Raw genomic sequence first — 23,003 nt, 5'->3', positions numbered from 1 at the left:
CAGGGATATTTAACTTCCCTCTGCAGCCTCGCGTGGCGTGTAGTGAAGCCCATTAAAACACATTTCCTGGGAGCCTCACCTCGGGCTTCTTAGTCCTCTGTAACTAGTGTTCATCCTCTGGGGCCTACGGTGCTGTGTATTGAGTCTTTTCCATTTCCAAGACCTTTTGCCTTTATCCTGGCCTTGAGGATGACCTTTGCTCTGAATTCCTAATTTGAAAAGTAAATAGTAAGTGCTCCTGGAGGGTATTAGAATAAGAGGTGTGGCTTTTAACTCCAAGAATGGGTCAGTCAGGAGATAGAATACTCTCTCTTTGTGATGCAAGAGGTGCCTAGTGTGTTTGTGAAACAAGGTAGGGAAAGTGGTTCTGAATTAGAAACGGAGCTTTGAATATTCTAATGCATTCCTCTCCTCTTTCATTTCCATTTGTGCCTCACTTTCGGTGTTTTAAAGAGCATTTCTTTACCGAATAGATAAAGAAGGGGAAAGATAAACCACCAACTTTTTTCCACCCTGAATTATTTTTACGTCTGTGGTGTGTCAGGGTGTGTGTTTACCCCCCAGCGCAGACTGAGCCGTAGACTCAGATTTGAGAAATACAAACTTCTAGAGCAAGCATTTGAGTGCCGGCCAATACGATCTGCCTGGGGTGTTTGAAGTTCTGTGTGAATTTACTGGATTCAAAAAGTAGAAGAAAGTCAGCATTGGAAGCAACTGATAATTCTGGATAGCAGTCAGAATGAAATGCCAATGAAATAGCAAATGTGCTGGGAGATCATGGATTGGGGATGGCTTGATCAATTTGGAGAGATCAAGGATGGCCTCATCGAGGATGGTGTTTGAGCTGGCATTGAGCTATTACTTACTGCCTGCACGGCTAGGGGGAGGGAAGAAGCGATGTTTCTATTTGCCACAGTCTACATTTGGCTCCTGACATAAAGTTCCTGGAAATATGTGTTAAATTCTGAGTTAATTTCCTCCAACACTGGCTTTAAAGGCTGATAAAAATATTCTTGGGAAGTATTTTGTACACATTATATATAGTTTCCATTAGTTATAGGCTGTCTTTTGCAATTGTATTGACAGTGTTCTGTTTGATTTACCAAACCTATACTTTTTGTATTTAACGAGAGTGATACCTCATAGAATATAGTGATTTGCAGACTACAGAGTGCTTTTGTATGCATATATTATTTTGTTTACTCTTCACACCAATGCTTTAAGATAGGGCTGGTTTTTCCATTTTTAAAATAAGAATATTAAAGCTTAGAGTCTGTGGTTGAACCTCTATACTATCATTTGTGTCTTCAGAATACTAAGACTTTGAGTCTTCATAGTTGAACCTCTATCATTATTACCATTTGTCTTCAGATTACTTCGTAAAACCCTCACCTAAGTTCATCCATGACATCAGGCATTTTTAGTGTTTTTTTTTTCCTGTATTGGTTAACTTTATTCTGAAATAAAAATCAGATAATAAAAATAAAAAGATTAAGACTTTTGTCTTAATCTTATGTGCCAGACTTTATGCTAAACTTTGCACATGCTTCATTTAATCTTCTGAAAACAGAAAGGATGGGGAGTTGATGTTATTACCATATTTCTACTGTTACAGATAAGGAAACAGGCTCAAAAAGGTTAAGCCAGGCGCGGTGGCTCACGCCTGTAATCCCAGCACTTTGGGAGGCCGAGGCGGGCAGATCGCCTGAGGTCAGGAGTTTGAGACCAGCATGGCCAATATGGTGAAACCCCATCGCTACTAAAAATACAAAATTTGCTGGGTGTGGTGGCAGGCGCCTGTAATCCCAGTTGAGGCAGGAGAATTGCTTGAACCTGGGAGGCGGAGGTTGTAGTGAGCTGAGATCGCGCCATTGCACTCCAGCCTGGGCAACAAGAGTGAGACTTTGTCTCAAAAAAAAAAAAAAAAAAAAAATTAAAAATAAAAGAAAATTAATTAATTAAGGATTTTTAAACAGGCTCCTCCCCCCCCCCCCCCAGGTACCATGGAAGCAGAAAGGATATGTGACTGAGGGCCTGAGTTCTACATTCAGGCTAGCCGGGTTCTAATCTAATCTACCACTTACCACTCATACAACCTTTTACAAGTTACTTAACTTTTTTTCTTTTTTTTTTCTTTTTTTCTGAGACGGAGTTTCGCTCTTGTTGCCCGGGCTGGAGAGCAATGGCGCGATCTCGGCTCACCGCAACCTCCGCCTCCCGGGTTCAAGCAATTCTCCTGCCTCAGCCTCCTGAGTAGCTGGGATTACAGGCATGCGCCACCACGCCCGGCAAATTTTGTATTTTTGGTAGAGACGGGGTTTCTCCATGTTGGTCAGGCTGGTCTTGAACTCCCGAACTAGGTGATCTGCCCGCCTCGGCCTCCCAAAGTGCTGGGATTACAAGCGTGAGCCACCACTCCCAGCTTAAGTTACTTAACTCTTTTGAGCCTGTTTCCTTATCTGTAACAGTAAAAATATGGTAATAACATCAACTCCCCATCCTTTCAGTTTTCAGAAGATTAAACAAAGCATGTGCAAAGTTTAGCATAAAGTCTGGCACATAATGTTTAATAACTGTTAGCTTTTACTATAGCCATTGAGGCCAGCCCTCAAACTGAGGAAACCAGCCTTTTCCAGTAATTGTTCTTCCCAGTTGCTTTGTGAGGCTGGAGCACTTCAAAATGAAGATTTGCATTCCCAACCAAATGAGACCTGTTTGTTCTGGAAATTGCCACAGTACATCCAGAATTTTCAGCTGGTTCCATGTCTCTTTTCTTTTTTATAGTGAAAGCAAATTCAGTATGATTGTGCTGCTCACCCTCCTACACGTATTATACTGTGAGATACTAAAACTGGCGTGTCCTCAGGTTCGCTTCTGCTTCCCTGACATAGAGCATCTCTGGCCACTTCTAAGAATGTTCCTAAGGTCCTTCGTGCCTAGCTCTTTTTTAAAGATAATTGTTCTTGTGCTACTGTTACCATATGTCCCCAGATCTCACAGTCAGCATCTTCTCTTTTGATTATTCAACAGAATTAAGGACCATTATCCCTGGAGGGTCACAAGGTGGATACCATGAAGGGGGAGAGATGAGGGCAGGGCATTAAATCTGAAGAGATAGATGCCAGTGGGGATGGAGAGGAAGGAGAGAGAGCCCAGGTATTCACCTGTTAATGCTTTGTCTTTGCACTTAAAATTGGAAAATTTACACCTCTGTCTCTACTTCAGTTTTAAAGGTGAATTTTCTCTACCCAATAATGTTTTTAGTTACTTTGCCAATATTGTAAGTAAGAGCTCTATGTGGCCTGAAGAAGTTAGGTACCATCCCATGGGATGATTTACGCATAACATATTTTCTTACCTATTCTTCCCTGTTTTTTTTTTGTTTGTTTGTTTCTTAAACTAGTGGGCCAGCAAGCAGAAATGTAGTAATGATCTATCCCAGAGTATCTGTTAAGTGACATTTTGATAGTGCCACCAGGCTGTTACAAACCAGTTTACCTCTAGATAATTCCAGGGTTTATCTTTTCAATTGGGACTCAAGCTGTGAAACCAAATTATGGCATGTAATACTTTTTATTGGCCGTGCATGCATTTTGCCATGAGTGAAAGCCAAATGTGGCCCGCAGTTGGTTTTATGAAAGGGTGAAGGAGATTCTCAAGAGAAATGCAAAGCAACTAATGCTTTTCAGCATTAATGTATCATATTCAGTTATTTCTCATTCGACTATGAGTCCAGTTTTGGGTCCTACCCTTTAAGATAAACAATAAACCAGAGTATTTTGAAAACATTTGGGGGAGAATGAAATTGGGATTGGAATGTAGGTGGACTGGAATAGTGCTGGAATGAATGGATATGATAGGGAATCTTTAATTAAAATATTTTTCATTTGGAAGGGACTCAAGCCTTGTGTGGCTCCATAAAATTATGATTTCTACTTAATATTAAGGGCAAGTGTTCTGGCTGAAATAACCAGAAATGAAATCAGCTTCCTTATAATGCAGGAGTTCCTGTGTCTTGGAGTATCCTCTAGTAGACTGACTGTTTCCCATAAGGAATGCTATCAAAAGGATCCCTTCTTTCAGGGATGCCTCTCTTCTTCTCACCCATATTGTTTATTTAAAATATTGAAAATATAGGGCTAGAGACAAAGCCTTATGCAACTTAGAGTCCTCACTCTAGGATGACAAAATTCATTAATCACTGTTCACTTGGAGCTGTTGATTGATCAGCAAGTCATCCACGTCAGTACATGGAGCCCATGTTTGAGTCCTGATTGCCTCTCAGTTCCCAAGAGTGGATTTAAGAACCAGCCTTGTACATAATTGTCATAAGTAATTTGCTTTGAAAAAAAGCCATATGGACTGCAAGTTCTACATTTTTCTCTTTTTTCCAGTTGAAAATAAGTTTGAAGGATTCACTTTCAGAAAAGTATAACAATATTGCATTTTATACATAGTGTATAATAAGTTAATTCAAAAATCGTAGATGTATCCTAGTAATTATCAGGGTTGGTATGTAATAGCTGACATACTTACTTGACAAGTACAATTCCAGTTTATCCCAAAGCATTTCTGGTAGGGATGAAGGTAGAAGAGAAGAGATGTATCATCTCTCCTTTTACCTAGACAGGAATGGGGAACCAGTTCTATAGGCATTAAGTGACTTATTTCACACAGGTTTTTTTTTTTTTTTTTTCCTTAAGTTATAGGACCTAAATTCTGGCCCAGAACCAGGGATTTCTTAAAACATAACCAAGAGCTATCCAGGAATTTTATTTTGGAAAGTTTCCAAATTCCTAATGTTGAAGTAGTGGTGCCCCTACCATAGTCATTTTTACACTGAAGACTAATCCTTTACATAGTCTTTCCAGGTCTTCACTAGAGAAACCGATAAAGTTTTGACAAGGTGCAAGAAAGAATAATATTCTTTCTAGAAGCACAGTTGGCTCTTGTCTCTAGTGAGGGGAGGATGCCAGAAGAGCAGGGGAGTTGGTTTTATAATAGATATAATTGCAAGACCAGTTGGTAAAGTTCATCAATACCGTCTTCACTCCCATCACCTCCATCAGTGTCCAGGATCTCACTTCCTTCAGGCACATCGTCCTGTATTTATTTCTCCCAGATTATTGTTCACTAACCCTGCTCCAAGGAAGAAAGAACTGTTTCTTAGTTGAAAGAACACATGATTTTGCAGTTGAATCACATTGAGTACAAATGCTAGCTCTACCATTTATAACCTGTATCATTATTTCTTAGAGTCTCAGTTTCCACAACTGAAAATGGATTTGATACAACAGCCCCACTAGCTTATTAGTAAGATTCCTTTGACTATACCATACTAGTGGTTCTCAACTAGGTGGAGGTAGATTTTGTCCCCCAGGGACATGGGGCAGTGTGTGGAGACATTTCTCATTGTTTTCAAGGGGCTGCTACTGGCATCTAGTGGGTAGAGCCCAGGGATGCTGCTAGCCAGACATCCTGTAATATGCAGGGAACCGCCTAAAACAAGACTTTCTTCAGTCCAAAATGTTAGTAATGTCAAAGTTGAGAAACGCTGTTTGAAGCCAATGTGTAACTCCTAGTGGGTAAGTCTAGGATGATATGGATATTAATGAACAACAGCCTTAGGCATGTCTCTGCCCAAGTATACTTGCTTTTTTAAGAAAGGGGATTTGGTGGTAGAGTGGACTCTCTTAAGACTGGAACATCTTTAAAAGAAATGAAATATCAGAGTAACAGATTGTAAGGTTAATATATCTGCCCCAAGAACTGCCCCCTCAGGCCCATTCCAGTAAGAAGAGCCCATCCTTTACACCTGGGGGATATACCCTAGGGCAGGAGTCTCCAGTCTCAGTCAGGTACTGTTCAGTCAGTGGCCTATCAGGAACCAGGACTGCACAGCAGAAGGCGAGCAGGGAGTGAGATAGTATTACCACCTGAGCTCTGCCTCCTGTCAGATCAGAGGCAGCATTAGATTTTCATAGGAGCATGAACCCAAATGTGAACTGTGCATGCAAGGGATCTAGATTGTGTGCTCCTTAGGAGAGTCTAATGCCTGATGTTCTGAGGTGAAACCCCCCAGTCTGTGGAAAAATTATCTTCCACGAAACCAGTCCCTAGTGCCAAAAAGGTTGGGGACCGCTCCCTAGGATACCACTTTACTATGCTTACTCCAGATGAGTTTGGAATTGTATGTCACTTACCATTGCCATTTTTTTGTCTTGCATTTTTATTTCATGAGTACTGTTTTATTGCCACGGGTCTCATTTGAGAGTAAATTGGATAGAAAGTCTAATAATGTGACAAATGATGACCTTTTTTTTTTTGTCTTGGGAAGATCTTATTAAAGAAAATTATGTGTGTGTTTTGTTCTACCCAGAGCAGGATCTGGGTAGAAGAGGATGGGTGCTAGATTCTTTGTGTTTTGCTACCACAGATTACAGTCAAATATATAACAAGTAACTTGTTTTAGTAGTTCTTTAGAAATTTCTATTCTCGTAAGATAAATTCATTGAGTTGTCTAGAAATCATCATCTGATAAATACTCATTCCAATATTCATTTCCAAAGAAATGAATTAGTCACCTGTTTCCGAAATCTTCCCAACACAAAGGTGGTGATAATACCAGGTATCCAAAGGTGCAGAAAACTTTCCTGTGGGTGACATTGTTAATGACTCTTAGCAGACAGAGCCAAGCAGTCGGCCTGTGGTGGTGGTTCTGTATCATTTTGTCATATTAAATGGGGAGGTTAAACTTTTGCTTTTTTACAGTTTGACAGTGGCTGTTGACCTTTTGCTGCTTGAAGCACTTTTAGGATTGTTATCTCAGCCTTTCATTATAGTACATCAAAATTCACTTTTATTAATCTTGCAGTTGTTAGAGATGAGAAGGACACTCACCCTATTGTCAGTGAGCCTGAAATCTAATAAGGAAGACAGGATGTAAGCAGTTTCTAAGTACAGCACAATGCAGAAAGAGGTGAACATTAAATAAATGAACAGAGAGTGCCCTATCAAAGACTTGGTTAATTCTGAAAAAGATTAATGAAGGGCTTGCAGAGGAGGTGGCATTTTATTTGCATCTTAAAAGGAGGGAAGGAATTTTTTTTTTATTACTGTCAGGAGGATGGAGAGACCAGGAGGATATATCAAGCTGAGAAATGGAAGCTCTATAAATAGGGAGCCCCATAAACAGGGAGCCCCCAGTGTTCATATTCTTATTGGTGAACATAAGTAGACCTGTGAGGTTGAAGTGTGCATTGTGTCAAATATTGAAATGGTAGGTCAAGGGAAATGGCTGTTTAAGAATTAGATTATGTTCTTTGAAGGCTATACCTCGAACTATGAGCAGGAAAAAAATCATTACTGTTTTGTAGGAGAGGAGTGAAAGCTGCTTATTCATATTTTAGGAAGGTAGCTCTGGCATCATTGTGAAAGATGTACTGAAATGAACATTTGGAAGCTTGGGAGGTGGTCATTGCAGTAGATCAAAGACAAAAGAATGAGAACCTTAAATTCATTGGGGTGAAGATGCAAAGGAAAGGATAGATGAGAGGTGAAAGAATGTTTGGAGGTAGATTTGTCATGTTTTGACTATTCTGAGATGTACATTTTTTTTCAAATTATAACATCTCTGGAATCTGATTGTATCTTAACAATTGTAATTGACAGTTTTTCATTCTTAGTGATACATAAAATATTGGTGAATCTTCAAATCTGTGGCTTCTTAGACTTAATGTATAATACCAGCGTCTGGTGACAGTTTGGATGGTGAGGATAAGTAAAAAGAGTGATTCAGAGATAGCTCTGTTGTAGCTCAAGTGGAGAAGTAGTGATCTCATTAACTTAGGTGGGAGGGTGTGCAGGAAGAGGAGCAAGTGTGTAGTGGAGGCCAAATTATGGTTGAGGCAGCTGCAGGATCCTTATATGTAGTCGGCTCCTAGGCACTTGGATATAGTAATATTACCTTTTTTTTTTTTTTTGAGGGATTGCTATGTAGAAGTGTCTGTGCTGACATCCATTATATTATCTTAAACCTGAATGAAAAGGTTACTAGGTTAAGCCACAGTTTTCAGAGGCAGAAACTGATGCCCACAGTAGCTAAAGGGCTTACCCAAGGTCAGACTGCTCAATAAATGGCAGAACTGGAGTTGGCCCCAGGTTTGTCTGTCAGAGCCTAAGCTCTGCCACTTACTGACTCCAGTTACAGAGGGAGACTTGGGAGTTGTCAGCATAGAATAGATGTTAATGCCATGTGACACATGAGATTGAGAGAGAAAATAGAACACATCAGATAAGATGGCCCAGAACAAAACATTAGAGAAGGCAGTTATACCACCTTTAGTATCTTGACTATAAGCATCCCACTCTCTGATCCTGTTTCTATCATACTTATTCTCTACCATTACTTCAACCTCATGGAGACATTTTTGTTGACCCTATCACTTTTTCACTGTTATCATTACCGCTTGTGTACTTGTTTCCCTTATTATTCGTGGTCATTTGTTATCATCAGTCCCTGTCTCTTCCTCCTTGGCAAAACCCCAACTCTGGGTAAACCAAACTACTCATCTACTTCCTTCCTGAGTCTCCACAGCTAAATATTGATAAGAAAAATACACACCTACGTTAATTAATCTTACTTTGCATTAGAAACCACAGACCTGGAAAAGGAACTCAACAATGTATAGCAATCTGCTACCTATCCCTAGTAAATTAGCTTTCTCACTTTTCAAAATTACTGCTTTATTCTCCTGTCTTCTCAAATCTGTAACCCACTTCCCTTCTCGTTTTCAGCTGATAACTTCACCTCATATTTGATGACAAAAGATAAGCAGCTGAGATAGTGGGAACATGAATTTCCTCATTTTTCCATCCACAGATCTTCCAACCCCTTTGTGTTTGTTCACACACCCCCTATTTTCCCTTCTGTTGCAAAAGAAGACAAACCCTCACTCCTGTATGTGCCAAAATCTCCTTTTGTGCTTTGGATCCCTTTCCCCTCTTGACTTCTTAGGGACTTTGTTGCCTATCGCTGTAATACCCCCATCACTCTTCATCCATCACTAATATCCTCTCTTTATCATTCCCATTGGTATTCCTAACCGTCGTCTCATTTTTATGCTCTCTCCTTTACAGCAAAACATGAAAGAATTGTCTGTATTTTCTGTCTTCACTTCTTCATCTTTCATTGTCTCTCAACCTCCAGTCAGGTTTCCATCCCCAACATTCGCTGAAACAGTGCTTGTCGGTAACTGATCAGAGTGACTTCCAAGCAGTTAAATCCCATAGTCACATCTCAGTGCACATCAAACTCAATCTCACATCAATATTTTACTTATCTGGCCGCTGCCTCTCTCTTGAAAAACTTTCTTGCCTTGACTTCTGTGATATCATATTCTCCTTTCCTACATCACAGGACCCCTCCTTGTCAGTTTCCTCTGCTGGTTGCTCTTCCTCTTCCTTTGCTTGCTGGAGTGCCTTCTTTTCTCCAGCTGTTTTGTCCATTCATGAGATCTCCTCCAGTCCTATGGCCTTATATGCTCATGTCTTTTATGGCAGTGACTCAAAACCTGCCTTGTTGAACTTGTCCACTTAAAAATGGGCTTAGCATCACAAATTTAGCATGGCTAAAACAGAATTCTTGATTTTTACCTTGTGCGAAATCTGCTTTTCTTGTCTTTGCCACTTCAGTATATGATAACACCAACTACTGAGTTGCTCAAAACCATTTCATAGATTGGGGAGATAATATTTAACCTTTGTTGTGGGAGCAAATACATGAAAAATACTGATTCTTTTTTTTTTTTTTTGAGATGGCATTTTGCTCTTGTTGCCCAGGCTGGAGTGCAATGGTGCGATCTCAGCTCGCCGCAACCTCTGCCTCCCGGGTTCAAGTGATTCTCCTGCCTCAGCCTCCCAAGTAGCTGGGATTACAGGCACACGCCACTAAGACCTGCTAATTTTGTATTTTTAGTAGAGATGGGGTTTCTCCATGTTGGCCAGGCTGGTCTCAAACTCCTGACCTCAGGTGATCAGCCCGCCTCGGCCTCCCAAAGTGCTGGAATTACAGGAGTGAGCCACCGTGCCCGACCTACTGATTGCTTTTAAATGTGTTTTTTTTATGGAAAGATTGGCAGAGCATCTTGAATCCTCTCATATAATGTGCACGCTTTGCTTTTAAATGTGTTTTTTTTTATGGAAAGATTGGCAGAGCATCTTGAATCCTCTCATATAATGTGCACACTTTTATGTCTTGAGCATTGGCTTTTATCCATTTTCAGATGAGTTTATAACTTATAAAAAATAACTTACTATAAAAGTAGATAACAGTAGATAACTTCCTTTTTTACCTGAGCTTCCTAATTTTGGGGCATATAGTACTTCTAGGAATATTGCAGGGGTGTGTGTGTCTGTGTGTGTGTGTGTGTGTGTGTGTGTGTGTGTTTGGGGGAAGTTACAGGATAGATAAGGCAGTATCTTCTTGGTTTGGGATTTTTGTGCTCTTAAAAGATTTCATGACATAAAGATGAAATTAAAACATATATGAATATATTATGGTCTGGACTTGCAAATCACATGAATTTTTAAGAAAAAAAATAGAACCTGCAAAGAAAGTTCAGGTTTGTCTGCCATTTGAGACTCTGACCAGGAATACTTTATAGATAAGCGTTCACTCCTGGCTGCTGGTAGGACCACTTTGGAAGAAGACTTTGAAACACTATGGTTCATTATTTTTTTTTTTAATGAATCTGTCAAACCAGTTGAAATGAATGCTTAGAATTAAGTTTCTCCAAGAAGTTTAAATCTATTCCAGATTATCTTTGTTTAGTTTTCTTGGGTTAGTGTTCATAATCAAGGGAGAACCAGAATGTTCAGAAAGCCAGACTGAGACCAGAGCTCTTTGTAACGAGACTCAAATGATTACCTGCCCATCATTGAAGGGGGCCAGCCCCTCCACACCTGTGGGTATTTCTCATCAGGTAGGACGAGAGACTGAGAAAAGAAATAAGACACAGAGACAAAGTATAAAGAACAGTGGGCCCAGGAGACTGGTGCTCAGCATATGGAGGACCTGCACCGGCACTGGTCTCTGAGTTCCCTCAGTATTTATTGATTACTGTTTTACTATCTCAGCAAGAGGAATGTAGTAGGAGAGCAGGGTGATAGTGGGGAGAAGGTCAGCAAGAAAACATGTGAGCAAAGGAATCTGTGTCACAAATAAGTTCAAGGGAAGGTACTGTGCCCGGATGTGCACGTAGGCCAGATTTATGCTTCTCTCCACCCAAACATCTCATTGGGGTAAAGAGTAACAGAGCAGCATTGCTGCCAACATGTCTCGCCTCCCGCCACAGGGCGGTTTTTCTCCTATTTCAGAACTGAACAAATGTACAGTAGGGTTTTATACCAAGACATTCCATTCCCGGGGCAGGCAGGAGACAGGCCTTCCTCTTATCTCAACTGCAAGGGGCCTTCCCCTTTTACTAATCCTCCTCAGCACAGACCGTTCACGGGTGTCAGGCTGGGGGACGGTCAGATCTTTTCCATCTCATGAGGCCATATCTCAGGCTATCACATAGGGAGAAACCTTGGACAATACCCGGCTTTCCTGTGCAGAGGTCCCTGCGGCTTTCCGCCGTGCATTGTGCCCCTGGTTACTCCAGAATGGAGAATAGTGATGACTTTTATCAAGCATACTGCCTGTAAACATTTTATTAACAAGGCACATCCTGCACAGCCCTAGATCCCTTAAATCTTGATTCCATGCAACACATGTTTCTGTGAGCACAGGATTGGGGCAAAGTTACAGATTAACAGCTCAGGGCAAAGCAATTGTTCAGGGTACAGGTCAAAATGGAGTTTCTTATGTCTTCCTTTTCTACATAGACACAGTAACAGTCTGATCTCTCTTTCTTTTCCCTACAGTCATGAATAGCTATGCATCTATTAATTCTTTGAGAGGTGGGGGCCCCTTTTAAATTAATGAATACTCAGTAGATTCTTTTAAGGCAGACATAGAGTAGCACAAGCATTTTCTCCGAGAAAAGTGGTTTGTGGTGGTTCTGCCTCTTCATTCTCCCTCTACTTACTCTGCTTTCCCTTGACCTAGTCTTCCAGTTCCTAGTGCAGAAGGGTTCTATACTGTAATTACTATTAGGGAAATATTGAAAATGGCTATGAAATGTTTTGAGTCCCACCGTGAAGAGACCATGTAAATCAAGTGATAAGACTACATTTTTCTGTGCTGTTTTTGTTTGTATTTTTAAATTTGTGCTATTTCAAAAAATATTAAATCATTATTTCCTTCTGACAACTTTCCCAACTAGTTGAATGTTAACACTATCTTAATAGCAGTTAATCATTCAACAGACCTTTGTTGAGTACCTGCTAAGTACCAAGCTATCTTCTAGGCACTAAAGGTTTAGTTATGAATGAGAGTAAAGAAGTTCTTGCTCTCATGGAGTTTCCATTCTGATAAGGGAGATAGACAATAAATATGTAAACACGAGTATAATATCAGGTAATATAAATGCTGTGGAGAAAACCAAAGCAGCTTCTCTTTTCTTTCTTCCTCCTGATAAAACAACTACAAACAGTCAACACACCCAGTTAACCCTGAGCAAGCTACCTAATTTCTTCATGCCTTTGTTTTCTTATTTGTAAAGCATATTTACCCAGTTTACCTCACCAAGTTGTGGTATTTTTAAAAAAAGAGATGGAAAAGGGTTGGGGCGGTGAAAGATGCATGTGAAAGCCGTTTGTAAAATATGACTACAGGCCAGGCGCGGTGGCTCACGCCTGTAATCCCAGCACTTTGGGAGGCCGAGGTGGGCAGATCACCTGAGGTCAAGAGTTTGAGACCAGCCTGACCAATGTGGTGAAACCCCGTCTCTCCTAAAAATAGAAAAATGAGCTGGCGTGGTGGCAGGCGCCTGTAGTCCCAGCTACTCGGGAGGCTGAGACAGGAGAATTGCTTGAACCCAGGAGGCAGAGGTTGCAGTGAGCCTAGATGGTGCCACTGTACTCCAGCCTGGGTAACAGAGCGAGACTCCGTCTCAAAAAAAAATGCTATAAATGTAAGGTATTATTATTTGTGCTTGTTTAAATGGAGCCTGGAGTCAAAGATTTGTGTATTTGGTGTATCTCAGTAATTCTGTCTGCATTGTTTGCTGTTTAGATTATAAACTACTTGAGAGTGAAGCTCATGCCTTTTGGGTTGTTTTAGCTTTCATTACTGTTTGGTTTTGGGGAATTTCTAGTAAAGTATCAATACAATATTTAATAGTTGCTGTTATTCTGTAACAGTGGAATGAATTGAGAAAAGGATTCGGGCATCAGATGGATGATTGTGCTAAATGATATTTTCAAAAACCTAATCCTGCTGTTCTATAATGCTAAAATAGAAGAGTTTGAGCAAAATTGTCCCAGCCTTAGTGGAACAAAAAGCATTTTCTTTTTGGCATGAATTCTGTGGTTTAGGTACAAAATAAAGCATTTTATATGTCAAAAGCTTCAGTCTCCATGATCCAGTATCTCATCTAGTATCTCTGTTAAACATGTGTAAAAAGAAAAGTGACCAACAGAAGCAGTGTTTTTAAAAGCGCTAGATATCCCTTCTTAAACTCCTACTCTGCTATAATCTAGAGAAGCAGTTTGCTGTAAACTAAACCATTTGATCTTCTAATTATGACCGTTGTCCTGTACTAAAAGTGATTTCTTTTTTCAAAGGTACGTCAGCCTGTCATATGCATCAACAACCATGTATTTTGTTCGATTTGTATTGATTTGTGGTTGAAGAATAATAGCCAGTGTCCAGCTTGCAGAGTCCCCATCACTCCTGAAAATCCTTGCAAAGAAATTATAGGTAAGGGCCTGTTTTATATATGCATAGGAATAGGTTTGAAACAATCTCCAAATAATTTATATTTCGAGGAAGACTGAAATAGGCTATTTTCAGTGATGCTATTTGGCCAACATAATACTGAGTGGTTGAGTAATTTGTGTAATGTATATGTGGAGCAACTGGGGCACAAGGCACTGAGAGGTGCTAAGAGGAATAACCCTGAGAGCCTCACGGAACTTACATTTTCATAGCAACTGAACCAAAAGAAAAGCAGCAAGTGCTAAGGGCCCCAAAAAAGCCCAGAGAGTTCAGGCAAGAAACTTCAGCTAAGAACACCGAGAAGGGCTTCATAAAGTAGGTGGCCTTTAAGCTGGACATTTAAATTTAAGGATGGATAACATTTCAACGGTGAAAATTAAGGAGGGCATTTCCTGCAGGGAGAATAGCATGAACTAAAAAGTTTAGATACAGGAAAACCCAGAGCATGTTTTTAGAAATGATCAGTAGTCTACTTTGGGTCCGACTACTGAGATAAGACAAAAGGTAAATTGAGACTTTAGTGCAGAGAACCTTGAATGACAGCTAAATCAGGGACTTGCTCTAGGACTAAGAAGAAGGGTGAATTGGGCATGATGGTTTTGAGCAAGGGAGTGGTATGATCCAAAATGTGCTTTACAAATATTACTTGTGGTAATACATAGGTTGGACTATAGGAGTAGACAGGATGTGAGTAGGTCTGGTAGGAGGCTTTTGCCTAGGTGATAGAAAATGTAAGTTTGGATTAAGGGTGAAAACAAATTCTATGTCACATTAATATTGGTGGGGTGGGGGAGGAGTAAAGCTTGAACTAGAGGATCCTTGAAAAGGAGAACTTCTAAAGAGCCTTTTTAGAGTTTGGTTTTTATTCTACTCATATAAGTTATTTATTTTAGGTTGCAAAAATTAAAATGATTTCTACTTGTTTTTGCTATAGGAAAAATTGAAAGTGAATCTACAATTAGCCAAGTATAGAAAACATTTTTCAGAAAACTTAAGAAGTCATTGTAATAGTCCCAAGTTAGGGAAAATGGACTTAAATAAGATTTTTTTTTTTTGAGACAGAGTTTCGCTCTTGTTACCCAGGCTGGAGTGCAGTGGCGCGTTCTCGGCTCACCGCAACCTCTGCCTCCTGGGTTCAAGCGATTCTCCTCCCTCAGCCTCCTAAGTAGCTGGGATTATATGCATGCATCACCACGCCCGGCTAATTTTGTATTTTTATTAGAGACGGGGTTTCTCCATGTTGGTCAGGCTGGTCTCGAACTCCCGACCTCAGGTGATCTGCCCGCCTTGGCCTCCCAAAGTGCTGGGAATTACAGGCGTGAGCCACCGTGCCCAGCCAAGATTTTTACAAAGGAAATAGAAAGGAATATATATGCTACAGAGCAAAAGAAGAACTAGTAGGACTTAGGAAATAAGAGATCTGAAGGCGCAATCAGAGTTGGCTCTTGGTACCTGGGTGAAGTCTGGTAGAGGACTGGTTCTCTGCTGTGTTGCATGCTACGGGGTTAACCTCTATCTGTTTTTTTTTACCTGCTGAATTTCACCAAGGAGTCAAGTCTTTTCTTGCAGAATATGAGCTTTGATGATTTGAATATTTTCCCCCAGCTTTTCTTCTCATCCCATATCCTACCTTTATTCATTCATACCTAAGTGATATTTCATAAATTCTCTCAAGGAAAATAGTTCATCCATTTTTGCATTTGGATAGAACATCCTGAAAAAGAACACCTGTAAAATACCTTTGCTATTATTATAATGCTAAAAAATACAAAGAAGGTAACCAGAGCATCAGTGAAGAGCTCTCAGGAAGAATTCATTGTGAGTGCATTTGTAACAAGTCATGACATAGAGTTAATGCCATGACTTACAGTCCATTGTAACTAGCCTGTTAGAATCCGTGAAAAGACACATTAATCTATATACATAGGTATATAGCAGTAATACTTTTTTTTTTTTTGAGACGGAGTCTCGCTTTGTCGCCCAGGCTGGAGTGCAGTGGCGCAATCTCGGCTCACTGCAAGCTCCGCCTCCCGGGTTCATGCCATTCTCCTGCCTTAGCCTCCTGAGTAGCTGGGACTACAGGCGCCAGCCACCACGCCCGGCTAATTTTGTTTGTTTGCATTTTTAGTAGAGACAGGGTTTCACTGTAGCCAGGATGGTCTCTATCTCCTGGCCTCGTGATCCGCCCGCCTCGGCCTCCCAAAGTGCTGGGATTACAGGCGTGAGCCACTGCACCCAGCCAGTAATACATTTTTATATAATCTCTTGGTTAAATGTAAATGTAATAATTGGTTTTATTATTTAAATATAGTCTAGTTTTCAGAATTTGAAGTAGTCCAAATGTGATAATTACAGCCCTTTCCTCCACTGAGTTTGCTGTGATAAGATATGTAGATATGTAAATACAATATGATGTGTTACTGAAGGTATTTCTTATGGTGTTATTTGATATATTTTTTTTTCCTCAAGATTAGGGTAGAGAAAAGGCCTAGATGTAAGCCCCAAGTGTGTATGTAAGGGGAAGGGTAGATGTGAAGCTGGGAAGCTATATAAAACAATATGAAAAAGGATCATTTTCATTCTTCCCGAATCAGAATGAAAAATTAGGATTTTTTTTTTTTTCCCTACAGGAGGAACAAGTGAAAGTGAACCTATGCTAAGCCATACGGTCAGGAAGCATCTTCGGAAAACTAGACTTGAATTACTACACAAAGAATATGAGGTAAACAGTAATCAAAGTTTAAAATTATGTTAGCAGTGAATTCAAGGTAAAAACTGACCTACCTCAGTCCCCAGACTTCTTAGAGTAAATATCCAATGAAATTTTATTTTAAAAGCCTATAAAAAGAAATTGTTTGATAAATTCTTTTTTCTTTTTTCCTTTCGTATTTTAAATAGAGGAAAGAGATTTTTTGTTTTATTTTTTTTCTTTAAGTACCAAGGAATGGGGGAATGGGATTCCAGAAAAAAGGAACAGATGGAAGCATTTCTTTCTTTTTTTTTTTTTTTTAAGTTAAAATTTGTACCTCCACAGACATATCATTTTGTATTTGCTTCCTCAAGAAGTTGGGAGAAAAAGGAAATCTCCTTGTGAAAGCCAGTCTGACCTCTGCAGTCATCAGTTGCTTCTGCCTATGAAGTTACTGATGATTATAAGCCTGATCAATTCTAGTAAAGTAAATACTATACCTTATGTCAACTGCCAGCACAGAGATTTTAGTGTGAAACATGCTGTTTCCTAATTATTGTCTAAAGGTGAATGAACAGGATGATTGGACATGGTGATGCTATTTTTACAAATAAATTCATGCTAATAGAATACATACACTTTTGAATAGTACACATTAAGCCCAGTTGTCATTTTATGTTGACTGAAGAAGGAGATATCGATCCCCTCTTGACTCAAAATATCTTTCAGTTTAACTGTGTACATGGAAGGTGCCTCAACTGCCTCAAAAATTTTTGGAATGCAGTGGGGTATAAATACATGATTGAATATATGTTTATTCATATATGTGTTCCTTACATATATGAATTTGCTTGTTTTATGAAAATGCTATTTAAGTTGAAATGTATTGCAATTTAAAATAGTAAGTAGTACTATCTGTGTGACATTTAATGCTAAAATGTATTTTTATATAATGAATATTTATCATACTCAGATGGTAAACAAATTAATCCTTTGGGAGATCACTTGAGCTACTTGGGGGTTTATTTTCTAGCAGAATTTTTAACAACCTCAATTTAAGGTGACATATTTATTATAGATGAATAAATGGCATCATAGTAAGAAGTTCTAACCCAAATGTTTAGTGACTGGTTTTAGGATAATAAACATTTCCAGAGTGGGAAGGCTAATACTTGCAATAGTCACAGTAGTAATTGAAGAACCAGAATCCAGAAAAGTTGAAAATTCAAAATTAACTACAGATATTATTCTGGAATGAAAAGTAGAAGGAAATGGTAGATGGTTTCACTCATACTTCAAATATAGAAGTGAAAGTATAAATATCAAAACCCTAACAATCCTCTTTTTCTTTTTTGAGACAGAATCTCATTCTGTCACCCAGGCTGGAGTGCAGATGGCATGATCTCGGCTCACTGCAACCTCCGCCTCCTGGGTTCAAGCAATTCTCCTGCCTCAGCCTCTCAAGTAGCTGGGACTGCCGGTGCCTGCCACCACACTCAGCTAATTTTTTGTATTTTTAGTAGAGGCGAGGTTTCATCATGTTGGCCAGGCTAGTCTTGAACTCCTGACCTCAGCTGGCCCACCTGCCTTGGCCTCCCGAAGTGCTGGGATTACAGGCACGATCATCTTGATAACTCTGTACAGTCAGCCCACCATATCCAAGGATTCATCATCTGTGGATTCAAACAACCAAGATTGAAAATTAAAAAAATAAATATATATAAAAATAATGTAGTTTAATAACTATTTGTATGACATTTACTTTGTATTGGTTATTATAAATAATCTAGAGATGACTTAAAATGTATGGAAAGATGTATGTAGGTTATATGCAAATACAGCACTAGTGATTTTCCATCAGGAACTTGAACATCCATGGATTTTGGTATCCCTAAGGGTCCTAGAACCAATCCCCTGTAGATGTGGGGATGAGGTGGGGACAAACTGTACCTTTTTTTTTTTTAACCCGGCCCCCCTCAATGTACTTTCAAATTCCCCTCAGTAAAGCAGTTGAGTATGCCTCAAGTTTTTTGTTTTTTTGTTCTTTTTTGAAATGGAATCTACTTCCCTGTTGGAATTCATGTGACTTTTCTTATTTTCTGGATGATATCTTTTTTTTGTTTGTTTGTTTTGTTTTGTTTTTGTTTTTGTTTTTGTTTTTAATTATACTTTAAGTTTTAGGGTACATGTGCACATTGTGCAGGTTAGTTACCTATGTATACATGTGCCATGCTGGTGCGCTGCACCCACTAACTCGTCATCTAGCATTAGGTATATCTCCCAGTGCTATCCCTCCCCCCTCCCCCCACCCCACAACAGTCCCCAGAGTGTGATATTCCCCTTCCTGTGTCCATGTGATCTCATTGTTCAATTCCCACCTATGAATGAGAATATGCGGTGTTTGGTTTTTTGTTCTTGCGATAGTTTACTGAGAATGTTGATTTCCAATTTCATCCATGTCCCTACAAAGGACATGAACTCATCATTTTTTATGGCTGCATAGTATTCCATGGTGTATATGTGCCACATTTTCTTAATCCAGTCTATCATTGTTGGACATTTGGGTTGGTTCCAAGTCTTTGCTATTGTGAATAATGCCGCAATAAACATACGTGTGCATGTGTCTTTATAGCAGCATGATTTATAGTCCTTTGGGTATATACCCAGTAATGGGATGGCTGGGTCAAATGGTATTCCTAGTTCTAGATCCCTGAGGAATCGCCACACTGACTTCCACGATGGTTGAACTAGTTTACAGTCCCACCAACAGTGTAAAAGTGTTCCTATTTCTCCACCTGGATGATATCTTAAATAGAATCAAAGATTTGGCATTTTTAAAAATCACAACTAACATTGAATTAAAATGAAGGCAACATAAATCCCAATTTTTATCAGTCAGGCCACATTTTGAGAATTTAAACTGTATGTGACTTTCTCCCTGCAAAACTCTTTTGATATGTAAAGAATCTATGTATCTACAGAATTTTAAGTACAAAATTCAAACCATGTTGGCTTCAGTTTAGCATATGTATGTATGTGTTTAGTGTCTATGCCTGCCTCATGACTATGCAATGCTTTTTCAGGACGAAATAGATTGTTTACAGAAAGAAGTAGAAGAGCTTAAGAGTAAAAATCTCAGCTTGGAGTCACAGATCAAAACTATTCTGGATCCTTTAACCTTGGTGCAGGGCAACCAAAATGAAGACAAACATCTAGTCACAGATAATCCAAGTAAAATTAACCCAGAAACTGTAGCAGAGTGGAAGAAAAAACTCAGAACAGCTAATGAAATCTATGAAAAAGTGAAAGATGATGTGGATAAGCTAAAGGAGGTAAGTTGTGGTTTTTAAAAATCTATTATGGTTGTTTTTAAAATAAGTACCTTCAAAAGCATAAATAGCCATATTATCTTGACTCATCATCAGATGATTTGTGAGGAAAGGACAGAATCTCTGGATGAGCATTTATATGCAATAAGAAGACTTTTTCTTATTTAAATATCATTAACTGCCAAGAAATATCAGGTGGTTCCATGTGTGACTATAATTAGAGACTGTTGTGCTTCTGTATAAGATTGCATCTTCTTCTAGAAGAATAATACCAATTTAAAGGATGTGTTTCTGTTTCGTCCTCTTTGTGGTTTGCCATAGGTTTTTTAAGCTTATATCAGCGACTTCCCCTGTGTACCTAAAAACAAACACATAACCATTTTCGCACCAATGAAAGGAAAAGTTTTGACCTTATCTTTTCTTTTGCTACCACTCTCTTATTTTTAAGATTGTAGATAGATAAAGACTTGGTGACTAATTCCAGGACAGCAATAAGCAGCTGCTTCAGAGTACCTCATGCAAAAGAATGTTGTGATTTATGAAACTGGTTCATTTTTTTCAGTTTTTCTTTGAACGAGATACAGCATGGTGAAAAAGGCAAACCTCTAGGATTTTTCGGCCTAGAAAGGGAGATAAGATCCATGCCATCAGCACTAGATGTTACAGGCAACTCCTACAACACCATCTTGACCCAAGTGATCAGCCTTTAGCTTGAGTTCAAGTTTATCCACAGTGGAGTCCTCTTGTGCTGAAAGGAGATGGCTTTGTAGTACTCAGTTCTACAATCACATATTCAACTATTTGCATTTCCTTAAAATACTATTCCTGTGTGAAATTACTAAATCTTATCTCTCAAAATTATTAATGAGCTCCATATGGTATTTTAAAGGAGTTCCCCTGTATATTGGCTCTCAGGTCCTCAGGTTAAGTAGCAGAGAAATACTTGCAACTTAGATGTAAGCCATCTTCCACATATAAAATAAATGTTGTTTGGGCTCAGAAAAGGCCAGGGTGAGGAGAAGAGAGAGCCTAGTGCTTTTAGATAAAAAAGAAACTACAGACATAATTGTACTGAGTTTGTTATAAGTGTGTAGGAGGGAGAAGTGCATAGTTTCTTTGGGTATTGATGACCAGTGTTAGTACCTTGATTTGTTAGAAGACAATAGGATACTAAAAGGAATGCCAACTCGGAAATTACAGTATTTATCAATTTGCCTTGTTCCCTTTAATTTCCCTGGTTCTTCTTGAGCCATTGGTAAGCACTATATGATCTCCTTTGTAGTTATTAAACTTCGTTTAAAGTTTTGGCAGTAAATATTTCTTAGAACATGAGGCTTATAAGGGTGATATGAGGGATGGATATTAAAGAAGAATACATAAAGCACAGTTAATTTTCCTTTGCTCTTTTAATGGTCAAATGTTAAATTCAATACTCAAAGCTACCCTGGGACTTCAGAATTCTTTGGGATATTGAATAAGCCCATTTTCTATGCCTAGTGATGCTAGTAGGTAATAGGTTATAAACTGGGACATAAGTGAATGAAAAAACATGGACTGCAGAGATAAAAACTAAAGTGTGGAGTAATAACATACTCAACATAATCAAATACAGGAATACAAAAGATTCAGAATAAAGGATTACTTAGCATGAATGAAGTGGACTTTTTTTCTGATGTTACCTGGAATGGGTGAGTTTTGAACCATCGTGAGGCCAGTGTCATTACCCAATCAGTGTTGAGAATGCAGAAGGGTTAGCTGAAATATTCATTATTCTTTTAGGTGCAAAAGGTAGGCAGAACTCTGCCCTTCATAACTTTTATTCACCTAACCTTCTTGAACTTGAAAAGATCTCTGATAGTTGAGGAACTAGCCAGCCTATAATGAGAAGTATTAGAGAGTCAAAGGACTGTTGAGAGACTGAAACATAGCCATACAGTAGTGGTGGGGGGCAGGGAAGGGGAAAGGAAATCAAATGAGTTTCTAATTTAAGCTTGTCATCATCATCAAAAAGCATTCACTAAATGCCTCCCCTTATGGTGCTGTGCTTGAGAGCTTAATTCATTGTCTGCATATATGAGGAAGTAAATGGCTTTCCTTATATCTTCAGAGAAGCAGTAATGGTGTTTATCAGTCACTTAAAGAATTAACTCTCCACAGTCCTGGTTGGTGTGCATTCATGAAGATAAGCAGGTGCCTAGAGCCCAGAGGGAACCTGGATGGGTCTAAGTCAGGGAGTTAGACTTTATGCCCCCAAATAATGTTCTCTACCTTATTTCTTCTGTGATCCTTGTGCTGCAGCTTATGTGGGTAAGTAAGTAATACAGTCAGAAGTTCTTGAAATTCATCTAAGTAATAGCCAAATTTTTGAAATACGTTTTAAAGGCTTCTTGGTTTAAACCTTTTTTGGTGACAGTTATTCTTGTGACCCATTCACTTTAAATGTAAATGTTCTGGTCAAAGAATTTCCCTTTCCCAGGTTAGTGAGGTTGGTTTCTAGTCTAGGGAGTGTTATTTTTCTTTGTAATACATAAAAGCAATGAGTAGGGAATTTAAAGGAAGTAGCTTCTAAGAAGACTCTAAAATTTAAGCACACTAGTTTTCAGTGTGTCCAGAATCAGTGTTGAGCCTCTAGATTTTCTAGCAATTGGTGTCCTGTTAGGTAATTTTTAGGTGTTATACAATTCAAGAAAGAAAATCATACTTGGAAGGATTTTTTTTTTAATCGAAGAACAATTCATAGAATTTATTAGAAAATACTGATCCAGGCCTGGCAAGTGGCTCATACCTGTAATCCTAACACTTTGTGAGGCTGGGGCAGGTGGATCACTTGAGGCCAAAAGTTCAAGACCAGCCTGGCCACTGTGGCAAAACCCTGTCTCTACTTAAAATACAAAAATTAGCTGGGCATGGTGGCACATGCCTGTAGTCCCAGCTCTTCGGGAGGCTGAGACAGGAGAATCACCTGAACCCTGGAGGTGGAGGTTGCAGTGAGCCAAGATCACACCACTACACTCCAGCCTGGGCAACTGAGCAAGACTCTTTCAAAAAATATAGATAAATAGATACATAGATAGATAGATAGATAGATCCAATTTTGAGGGCC

General features: G+C 39.2%; 1 protein-coding gene across 3 annotated transcripts in view, besides 2 other annotated features; it reads left to right on the top strand.

Annotated features, from left to right (window-relative positions):
* The window catches only part of OBI1 (ORC ubiquitin ligase 1), a 44,867-nt gene that overhangs the window by 430 nt on the left and 21,434 nt on the right, over positions 1–23,003 (top strand). Inside the window, exons 2-4 of one of the 3 annotated variants that reach the window (NM_024546.4) lie at positions 13,729–13,864; positions 16,513–16,604; positions 19,655–19,903. In NM_024546.4, coding sequence (NP_078822.3) covers positions 13,729–13,864; positions 16,513–16,604; positions 19,655–19,903 — 477 coding nt within the window. Of the gene's footprint in view, positions 1–13,728; positions 13,865–15,173; positions 15,701–16,512; positions 16,605–19,654; positions 19,904–23,003 lie in introns of those variants that run through there. The other 2 variants (XM_024449410.2, XM_011535225.2) reach the window with 2 other exon arrangements.
* Positions 203–1,163: an enhancer, noted in NCBI's record as "OCT4-NANOG-H3K27ac hESC enhancer chr13:79231698-79232658 (GRCh37/hg19 assembly coordinates)". NCBI's record gives its function as "activates a minimal SCP1, AML or CMV promoter by ChIP-STARR-seq in primed H9 embryonic stem cells {active_cell/tissue: H9 hESC(primed)}" and the evidence as "EXISTENCE:reporter gene assay evidence [ECO:0000049][PMID:30033119]".
* Positions 213–292: an enhancer, noted in NCBI's record as "active region_7848". NCBI's record gives its function as "activates an Ori minimal core promoter by ATAC-STARR-seq in GM12878 lymphoblastoid cells {active_cell/tissue: GM12878}" and the evidence as "EXISTENCE:reporter gene assay evidence [ECO:0000049][PMID:35858748]".

The sequence above is a fragment of the Homo sapiens genome, chromosome 13 (genome assembly GCF_000001405.40).
Source record: "Homo sapiens chromosome 13, GRCh38.p14 Primary Assembly".
In the NCBI taxonomy this organism is placed as follows: domain Eukaryota; kingdom Metazoa; phylum Chordata; class Mammalia; order Primates; family Hominidae; genus Homo; species Homo sapiens.
The sequence above is the reverse complement of the archived record's forward strand: the minus strand, read 5'-3'. Positions and strand labels throughout refer to the sequence as shown.